This window comes from Homo sapiens, chromosome 9 (genome assembly GCF_000001405.40).
Source record: "Homo sapiens chromosome 9, GRCh38.p14 Primary Assembly".
Taxonomy (NCBI): Eukaryota; Metazoa; Chordata; class Mammalia; order Primates; family Hominidae; genus Homo; species Homo sapiens.
Window position 1 is genome coordinate 133606971 of NC_000009.12, and position 10390 is coordinate 133617360.

Below are 10390 nucleotides of genomic sequence, written 5' to 3' on the forward strand. Positions count from 1 at the left end.
ATATAGAGCCAGCCCCTAAATATACAAAACGGGGGTGATCATGTGAGTAGGGAGTAGGGTTGGCACGGACTGGGGGCTTGGACTCAGGTCAGTCCGAAGATTTCAAAACTGCTCTGCACTCCCTCAATACCATGGCAAAAAGGGAGGAACTGCACTCCTCCCAGCTTTCCTACTCCATCCGGGGCTTAGATGAACAGAGCTGTAATGGCTCAGAGGGGGGACATGAAATGATCCACCCCACAATTTTGTACATGGGAGACTGAGGTCTAGAGAGGAAAGTGACTTGCCCAAGGTCACCCAAAAAGGTGGACAGAACTCGAGTCCCGACTTCTCCATCTGTGCCCACCTTTCCCCAGGTGCCCTTGCTCATGTTTGCTGATGGTACTGGCATGACAGACGTGTGTTGGGGACTCCAGCCTCAAGGGTAGGAGGAGCTCTGTGGGGCTCCTTGCCCTACCTGCTGGAGAGGCGAGGGTGGAGAAGCTGCAACACCTCTGTGTGCCAGGATTCTGAGTGGTGTCAGCACGTCCTGAGAGTCCAGCAATGCACCCTGGAGCTCCCACTCCCTCCCCATGCAAGTGGGGCACTGAGGCTGGGAGAGCCTGTGCATCCTTCCCAGACCCCCAGATCCTTCGGGAGCCATTTCCAAGCTTTCCGGCTGAGTCTAGACAAGCCGGCCCCATTGGAAACTCAGCTGATAGGGAAACCAAAACCCAGCTGGATCCAGGATACAAAGACTGCCCTGTGGGTCTTTTCATAGCATCGTGCAGATGCTCAACAAACTGCCAGCAAGTGCAAGACCGAATGAACAAAACCCCACATTTCCTGGGCCCCCGAGCCTTAGGGTGAGATTTTTTCACAAGCTGCCAGCACCTAAGCTGTTTAGGAAGCTTGCAGTCAGTGCACCAAGAGTTAAAACCAGCCCTTGCCCAGCCCAGGAAGTGCTGGTTCTCACCTGCTCAGGTGGGTAGAGCCCTGGTCACCTCCACTTCACTCTCAATTCTATAAGAGGGAGAAGGTGGGAAGATGGGCAAAGGTGCTTTCCCAGCAACCCTGAACTTTTTGGGGGTTGGTAATTACTGCTCTCCCCAGAAGCCCTGAAGAGCGTGAGTTGGCAGGGGCTGAGGGAAATGCAAGGGAGAAGGCTGGCAGGGTGGCCCGCTGGCTCTCCTGAGCTCCTGCTTACTGGGGAAGGTGCTAGGACGAATGCTGGGGCTCAGGCCTCAAGGATACTCCCCTTACCCTGCAGAAGGTTCCATGAACTTGACCCTTGAGTTTCTTGTCTCAGAGCCATCGGGGTTGCTACGGGACACACACTGGCAGGACCACTTGTGCCCAGGCAGTCCGTGGCTGCGGGAGGACAGGACACGAGTGGGGTGAGACAGTGGAGCCCTGAGGACCCATGTTGAATATCTCTTGGGTTTTTGGTGTGTAGAGTCTTTTCTTTTCTGGCTGAGGAAACCTAGTGTCAGTTAGGCAACCCCCCACCTGTCAATGAAGCAGAGATTCCTAACAGACAAAGGTGTGAGGTGGTGGTGACAGAGGCCGGCGTGTTTGAGGCCATCTCCACCACTTCCCCACTCTGTGATCGTGGGCAAGAGACCAAACCTCTCGGAGACTCAGTTTCTGCATCTGTGAAATGGGGCCAATGCCCCTTTCTCGTGGGTGTTGGGTGAATGGGATGGGATGAAAATGCAGCACCGACTCTGGAAGAAGGCAAAGCTCAGCAAATGAAAAAGTCTTAGCTCCTGGCAGGGAGAGAAGGCGGCCAGGTTTCCAGAGGGCTCTTCTGGGAAACTTTCCCTCCCCACTGCCCCCTGCCCCCAGGCCACTGTTCCGAGGGAAATGAAGCCCCCCTTCCTAAAGTGGGTCCCCCACCTCTCCCTTAGGCCCTCGTGCCCACCTGGGTCTCAGTCTCCTCCTCGGGGATGCGCTTTGAGGGTGGAAGCCAGGGGATGGGTGACGCCAGCTGGGTCAGGGGACCTGGTGCGAGGCAGCCGGGGCAGGCTGCAGTGGGCACTCTGGACGAGTGGGCACCTAGCTGGAGCTTTCCAGCCTGCGTCTTCTGCCCCACACCCCGTGACCCGCGGCCCGCTCGGCCCTTACCTTGAAGCATGGGAACCGCGCTGCCCCGGCCGCGAGGACTTGGGCGCACGTGACGGGGCGGGCGGGCGTCCGACCCGGGCAGGGCGCAGCTAGCGGCGGCCGCTCATGCCCAGGCCACGGCGGTGGCGCCTGGTGTGGCTGGGCGGGCGAGGCGGGCGCTGAGAAGCCCGGGAGGCCCCCGGGGAGGCGACTGCGTGCCCAGGCGGGCACCCCTGCCAGCTCCGCGCTGCGGCCGCGACTCCGGACGCCCCGGCTGGCTCCCTGCGAGCTGCACGCGCGGCTCCAGCCTGGTCCCGAGCGCAGGGCGCGCGCTGGCGGGGAGGGCGCGCGCCCGAGCCTGGCGGGGAGCGCGCGTCACCGGCCCGCGCGCGCAGTCGTCGGGGGATGCCGGGAGCGGCCTGGGGAGCTGTCCCTGGTGCTGACGGCTCGTCCGCTCTCGCCCGGGACGCGCGACCTCCTGGAGGCCTGGGGGTGCCCCCACCCTGGCCGGCGCCCTGCGGTGCTCCCTCCGCTCTCCGCCTGTTCTCGGGGCGTTCCGGCTTCCACAACGTTGGGATCTGGAGTCAGGCCGAAGCTGCTGCTTATCCGCAGTAGGGCAAGTCCCTTATCCTGGTTGAGCGGCTGGTTCTTATCTTTAAAATGGGGAGTTAACACCAGCACCTTTAGGGTTGGTCTGAGAATGAAATCCGATGATGTTTCGAGGCCCGGCACACCATAAGTACTTAATAAATGCTCGCCTTTGTTACTATTTATTTCCCTTCTCTGAGTTAGCAACCCCGGAGCAACTGAGAGGAGGAGCAAGGCTTACGCTGCTCCTGGTGAGTGGCTGTTTGGGGCATGGCGGCTGCCTTTGGATCTCTCCCACATCCACGGGGAAGGGGAGCAGATCCCTTCTCCCTGACCCCAAAGCACAGAGCTAAGACCAATGGCTAGACGTTAAAGCAAGGCAGATTTGGGCTGGATACGAGGGAGACCTTTCTGACCCAAGGCTCCTACTCCTGAGAGGAGTGCCCCAGGAGGCATTTCCCTGTTTCTGCAGGTCCTCGAGCTGAGCCTGCGGTCGCAGGGACCCTGAACGGAGAGAAATCTGGTGTTAAGAATGTTAGGAAGGCTTTTGTGTTAGAACATGTACAGCACTCAGAGCTGTGCCTGGTGGGAAAGCACCATATAAATGTGTGCTTTTTTTTTTTTTTTTTTTTTTTTTTTGAGCCATATCACTCTGTCACCCGGGCTGGAGTGCAGTGGCGTGATCTCAGCTCACTGCAACCTCCACTTCCTGGGTTCAAGTGATTCTCCTGCCTCAGCCTCCCGAGTAGCTGGGACTACAGGCATGCGTCACGACACCCAGGTTGTTCTTTTTGTATTTTTAGTAGAGACGGAGTTTTGTCATGTTGGCCAGGCTGGTCTCGAACTCCTGACCTCAAGTGATCTGCCCGCCTCGGCCTCCCAAAGTGTTGGGATTACAGGTGTGAGCTGCCACGCCTGGCCTTAAATGTGTGCTTTCATTATGATCAACCTTTAAGTTCTCTATAAAAAAACTCCATCCTGGTAGTAACCATAACCTTGCTTCATTCTAGACATGAGAATACTGAGGACAAACAGAAGAGTAAAGTGCTTGGAGTCCATTTCCCTTTTACAGATGGGCTGAGCACAGATGGGTGAGCAACTTGCCCATGGACAAGAGAGTGAGTGTTCACACCATACAGACATGCTCCAAATGTCCAGCCTGCTGCCTCCCCTGCTGGGGCCCCTGGCAAGGGCCCCTGCTGAGTTTCTCCAGGCTGATCAGGTCACTTTGACCATAGAGAGTTTTCTTATAGCAAACCAGGCTAGTCCTCCTTCCTCTTAACTAATGGGAAAAGCTGGTCCCTGCCCCCTGTGAGTATCTTGTTCTCTTCCAAGCAGGATAATTAAACATCACCTGCTTCATTTCCCAAGGGACCAGGGGCTGTGTTTGATTCATTAATTAACTGCGAGTAGTACCTGCTCCCACCAGGCACTTGTCTCATGATAAACATCACTCATTATGTGCTTAATGCGTGCTAGACACAAGGCTAAACACAGTGCGAGCATTGCCTCATTTAGTCTTCTCAGCGATCCGATGAGATATGGATACTGTCATTACCCTGACTTTGCAGGTGAAAACTTTAGGCTCAACAGCAGCAGACCTGAGGCGGATCGGCCTGATTCCCAAGCCATTGCTCCTAATCCCCTTCTTCTAGAACTTCTACATCCTTCCCAACCAGCCCCACCTAGAAAGAAGGATGGTAAACACGGATAGAAATTCCTTATAAGGAGAGAGAGAGAAAGGCAGAAAGAGAGAGAGCCAGGAGGAAGAGACAAACCAGCCAGCCAATCGATGTCCTAGGAGTTGACACAGGAATCCTTTAAATCATCACTTTTAGTCAAAAACTCCATTATGACAACTGAGCAACTTGTTTTTTATTTGAGAGTTGCAAGTGTGTGCCAAGAATTTTAAAAGCAACATCACTGCCAAGCCCTGTCTTTACCAACCAGCTCAATGCCCTTCCACTTCTCCCCATGCTGACTTTTTACTCAAACTCTGCAGAATCCTGCAGCTATAGATCTGAGCAGCTGGAAACCTCTGTGGAACCAGCTCAGACTCTGTAGCTCTTGGCCTCTTGACATGCTGGTTTCTTTCCCATGCTGTGGAGAGAGATGTGTTCCTGATGCCCGTGATGACGAAACCTTATTTAAAATGGAGCCCATTTTATTTGAAAGAGGTCTGAATATTACCCACAATATGTACAGTAGATGCCTGCATTGCCCTCGCTTTACAGATGGTAACAAAGGGGTGAAGTGACTTGGCCAAGGTCACACAGCCAGCAAAGAGGTGACTACACTGAATAGATTTCATTTGGATCGCAATGCCAGATGGTCACCACCAAACTCATTATTTATGTGCAAAAGCATGCCCTGATTTTAAGCAAAAACCAATTTCAGAAAATAAAAATGGGTGAGGGGAGAGAAAGACAAGGAAGAGTCTCTGGTCTGACTTTATAAAAACAATTCATCATCAGGATTCCCTAAATAGCAAGTTCTCCTGGTGCGTGCAAAAAAAAGGATCCTAGTTACACGCAGTTCTTTTAGGTTGGCCAAAAACAGGCCCGGGGGTGGGAGGAGTGACATTCTGCCGCCGGACTGGTTCTCCATCCACTACAATAAGCTGTTTAGTCGCGTGGCAACCTCAGCCAACGGCAGCTACTCTGTCCCCACCACCAGCATCATTCCACAACAGAGCTTCGTGGATATAACTCAAATTCAACAGATGGCCAAGTTGGTTGAACACCTCCCAACACATTGGTTCATGGGTGGCAGTTTACAAAGGTTCATTTTCCACTTAGGGCAAATGGGGCTTGCGTAAGATCAGCCTGACACTATACAAGCAGGACCTCTGTGCGCATCCGTTTCTTGGAGTCGAGTTGGATAGCCTCATTGCTCAAAGACTTACAGCCTCATGAAGAAGAGGCATCAGGCTTTCTTTCTCTCTGAGGATCTATATGTGCACAAGAGGTGCTCATTGGCTGGATATAGAGGAAAAAACAAAACCAGCGGTGGCGGGGAAACCCTGACATTCCAATCACACCTGCACCCCCATGCACAGTCCCCTGCACACTCGAATGGAGGGAACGACGTTCTTGGGAACAAAGGATGTGAGCAGCTGCTGTTGATGGCTGAGTCTCATTCTACAGAGGCAGAAAGAACAAAGTGCTCGAGGAATAAAGTTTCTGCCAGGATGTGGAGAGTAATGAGAATGATGGCCAAGAGCTTCTCCTATTCCCTTTCTGGGAACCCTCTGGAAGGGAGGAGCTCGCCATCTCCAGACATGTCTGAGCAGAGGCTGGCTGTCCACTTGCAGCACAGCTGGCACCCGGGGACCCCTCGGTGTTAGAAGTCTGTGAGATTCCAGAAGGGGCAGCTGCTCACTGGTCTGTGTGGGTGCCCCCTGGCCCCCAGCACCGACCTCCATTCAGCTGCTCGATGGATCTCAGGGCACTGAAAGGGGGTCCACGTCCGGTTTTCCAAGCTCCTCCTCATATTGGTGCCAGGCCAAACTATTGAAGTGGTTGCTGTTTCCACATATTTATGGAAATTACCTGGGCCTTGCCGCAGTTACTAGATTAACCTTTGTTTGGTCGTTGAATTGTTTCCTCTTCTTAGCCTGCAGCCATAAGACGTTCTGCAGTTGATTGACTGAGCCCAGCAACAGCCCCTTTGATCCGTTTTCACTGAACCTGTGTCCACTCAACTCCAGATGATCTGTGCAGGTCAAGATCAAGCCCATTTAGAGAAGAGATGAACTTTTTAAAAAGAAACTATTGAGAGATGGGTAACTGCAAGTCACTGTGATTACTCTGTGATGCCGAATAGGCAGAGTGTGCCTCGCATCCTGGGTCTGTTAGATTGGACGTCTTTTAGATGGGACCAGGAGAATGACGAGGTACCAAAGTGTGCAAGAGAAGGTGAGAGGGTCGGGCAGCAGAGTGTGCCAGCGGACAGAGTGGGAGGCGTGCGCGGGCTCAGGTGTGCAGCGTGTGGGGTGTTTCCATTGCCCTGGTTTGAAAAGACAGCCTCATCTGTGTGAAAAGAAATTACCGGTGGTTTTTAATTACTGCAACATTTTAAAACATTGTGACAGCAAGCTTGATGTGTTCGTTCTTTAAGAATCATCGCAGATGATGGATGAGGAGGAGATGGGGCTGAGAGGCGCTCGGGGACCCGTCAAGGGGTCTCTCCCGGCTCCCTCTGTGAATCACGGATCATCTTGACAAATCCTGCTGCAGAGTGAGAAGAAGTGAGACAGGAGTTATGGAGGATTTATTGTTTCAGAGCCTTCCTCCATTGCAGGGATTTTTTACTCCAGAGAAACATTAACAGAGAGTACTCCTAATCTGGGTTTTACTTTCTCAGCCAAAGCACTTCTTCACAGCTTGAGCAAATAAATGCAGGCCATGCCTACATTCGTTCATTCATTCCCTCACATACTGTGGGCGCAGAGACAGAGGAAAGAGTCCTCGTCATCATGAGCTCAGAGGGAGGTGAGAGTTTCAAAGGTTGATGGGACAGGGCCTCCTGAGGCAGGCAGAGGCAGGACAGGGACCACCCGGCTGATAGCTAGCATGTGTCTTGTGCTTATTACTGTTGAACTGTGCTGACAGCCCTGGGAGACAGGCACGATTCATTCATTTTACCGGATTTACAGTAAAGAACCCGAGACAGAGAAAGTGAATGACCTGCCCAAGGCTGCCCGAGGCCAGGACCCATCTGACTCCGAAGTCCACCCAGACCATGTCCTATGCCTGGGGTGTGACCCTTAGTCTATTACACTAGAAAATAAGAAATGAAAATCGGAGATTGCCTATCTGGACTAGGGGAACCTAATATTGAAGCAATTTTCCCATAACTTTTCTGCTTCTATTAGCAAGGGTTGCAGAGGTTGCTGAATGCTGTTCATTTTAATAGAAGGATGAAAAGAGAACACCCACGGTGACTGACACAGGCCAGCGTCAGGACATGACAATAAAATGTCATGCCAGACTGACATGCCAGCCTTTCATTTCAGCCGTGCAGAGCAGTTCCTCCCCTCAGGACAGTCTCTGGAGCACCCGTGGGGCAGCTCTGCCACCCAAGGACTCACCTCACAGACACAGTCTCCTCTTGGGCACAAAGAATAAAAACTTGGACTTAACCATTGCTCTCCTGTCAGACTCTATCCAAGCCACCAGTCCCAAAGCCTGCCTAACAATGGCAGATTTGGATGGGGGTGAGGAGGAGGAGGGCGTGGGAGCAGAGAAAGGAGAATGGCAGGGGTAATCGTGGGGAAGCAGAAGCAGGTGGTTGTGGCAAAGCGAGGACATGAGGCCAGTGCTGTGTCACCCAGGGGCGGTGGGAGCCACAGGAGGCCAGGCCCCTTCTGCCCTGGCCTGGATGCCACCTCCCTCCTCATCTGGCTGGCTTGGGGAAGCAGAAAGAGCATCAGCTATGGGTCTTTGCAGGAGCAGATGAACCCTGCTGCCGGGTTAGTCTCCCGCTGTGAAACGGGAGAGGGGCCTGGCCCTGTTACAATCTGCCGCAGACTTGGGGAAGGGGAGCGGGGCACAGTCTCGTCTGTTTGGTCACTCATTCCCTGCCTCTCTGCACTGGAATGGCACATCCACAAGGGCAGGGGCTTCGTGCCTCTTGTTCTCTGCTGTCTCCCAGCACCAGTCACAGCAGCTGTTTGTTGAATGAATGAAAGATGTTCACGTGAGAAAGCGTCTGCCTGCCGCTCTGCGGAGCCAGAGGCAGCGTCCCTTGCAAACACAGCTGGCCCGAGATTGGCAGTCACCCAGACGAGAGGTGGCAGGCAGCAGAGCCTCCCCCTGCTCTGGAAACCCCACACTGAGACCACCGGCCATCGTGATTGGACGGAGGGGGAATCTGAGGCAGCCAGAGGCAAGCGACCGGCCAGGGGTGCAGAGATAATGAATAGCTCAGTGGTGAGCGCTGGCCCAGAGCCTCCTTCCCTGCACCGCTGGCTCCCTAGAGAAGGGGCAGAGCTCGACTCAGCCAATCTGCCCTGAGGACACTTGGACCCTGGCACGAGGCCCTAGGCTGAAGAGGGAGGCCTCTAGCCTCCAGCCTCCCTCTCTGCACCCTCCCCATTCCCCGCCCCGGTGCATCGACCCTTGTCTTGAGCACCCTCAGCCAGGGCAGCCTTCCCCTGCACAAGCCCCTTGGCTGCTCCTCTTCACCCTCAGGATGGCGTCCACCCCGCGGCCACCGTTTGAGTCCCCACAACCGCCCCCAGGCTTGTTACTCCAGCTATACCCAGACTGGCTGTTTCCAAATGCTCACTCCTCACTGCCTTTAGCAGGCTGGTCCCTCTGCCAGAGGTGCCCTTCCTATCTGTCTCCATCCCACAAACTCCTACACACCCTGCAAGGCACAGCTCAAATGTTGCAGCTTCTGGGAGACCGGGAGGGTCAAAGGCAGCATATAATGCGTTGATCAAAGTTCTAATGCTGGTTTCTCTGCAACTGTTTGTTTAAATCTATTTGAACATGAGCCTCTTAACCCTAGGGGCCAAGTCAGACTGACTCACACATTTATTGAGCACCTACTGTGTGCAGGCTCAGCACTGGGTGCTGGGATGCAGGAATGAACAGGGCAGGAACTGTCTTGCCCTCTGAGGGTGGATGGCCTAGTGGAGCTGCCGCCATCTCCTCCAGGTCAGGTGCACAACTGGGGGGGAGGTCCAGATTTGGGGCCTGGGGATGTAGATCTGGGGGTGCCCATACAGCTCAGCTCCTCTGTCCCAAGGCAGTGCTGTGGGAATATATGGGTCTGGAGTCCGGCAGAATGGGGCTCCATCCTGGCCCCCTGATTTCTAGATAGATGAACACAGCCCTTCTCTCAGCCTCTCTGAGCCTCAGTTTCTCCATGTGTGGTGTGGAGCCGTGCAGTATGGTGGTGAGCATGACCATCTGGCGTCTTGACCTGGCATGATGCTCCACAGGCCAGAGCTGGAGAAAAAGCCTGTGCCTGTCCCAGCAGCAGCGGCTGCCCTCTGCTTTTGTCCCTCAAATCTCACACCCCTGCTGTTGTACCACAAATCCCTCCTCTTCCTCCTGGTGCTCCCAACTCCAGCCACCAGGTGCTGGTCTTGGGAGTCCCCATCTCACCAACTTCATCCCAAAGAGCTCAGTGGTGGGTGGGCGAGAGGGGGACGTGGGAGGGGCCTTGGCCAGACAGTCTCCATGGCCCTGATGGAGCTGGGAGGCTGAGCTGCCCACAGTGGTGCAGGCTGGCCTCCACCCTCGGGCCCCTGCTGTGGCGCCCACCTCCTGATGGCCCTGTGGACTCTCTGGGGAGCCCCTCTGAGGATCCACCCTGCAGGTCATCCCTCCTTCCCTGGTTAGGAAGGGCTCTGCCTTCTTGGTCTTTCCCTTGGCAACGCTCTGGCTTTGGGGGCTGGGGGTGAGAGCAGTGGGTGCCTGAGGCTTTGGGGAGAACATCTGGAGGGAAATCAGCATGCGCAGGCCGCAGGGAGGCTGCTTTGCGGGGTGGTCGAGTGCCTCCAAAGCAAGCCAGCTGATGCCCGTCCCTGCCACTGAGCTGCTCCCAGCATCACAGCAGGCAGCATGGCAGGCACGGGGACAGCCAGCCAGGACACATCCAGCCCTCACCACGGAGCCTTCCAGCCCCTTCCCTCCATGCCTTCCTTGGTCTCATGGCTGACCACTGTCACCCTGAAATGGGGTCAGAGCTCAGCACATTACAG

At 54.8% G+C, this 10390-nt stretch overlaps 1 protein-coding gene across 4 annotated transcripts in view, besides 1 other annotated feature; it reads right to left on the bottom strand.

Annotated features, from left to right (window-relative positions):
• Window positions 1-2419, bottom strand: part of FAM163B (family with sequence similarity 163 member B) — a 32309-nt gene extending 29890 nt beyond the window's left edge. The window contains exons 1-3 of one of the 4 annotated variants that reach the window (XM_047423714.1): window positions 2107-2419; window positions 1243-1350; window positions 956-1002 (exon numbers count right to left, since the gene is read on the bottom strand). The gene's annotated coding sequence lies outside the window, so the exon portion shown is untranslated. Of the gene's footprint in view, window positions 1-955; window positions 1003-1242 lie in introns of all 4 variants that reach the window. The other 3 variants (XM_047423715.1, XM_047423716.1, NM_001080515.3) reach the window with 3 other exon arrangements.
• Window positions 8535-9134: an enhancer, noted in NCBI's record as "H3K4me1 hESC enhancer chr9:136480627-136481226 (GRCh37/hg19 assembly coordinates)". NCBI's record gives its function as "activates a minimal SCP1, AML or CMV promoter by ChIP-STARR-seq in naive H9 embryonic stem cells {active_cell/tissue: H9 hESC(naive)}" and the evidence as "EXISTENCE:reporter gene assay evidence [ECO:0000049][PMID:30033119]".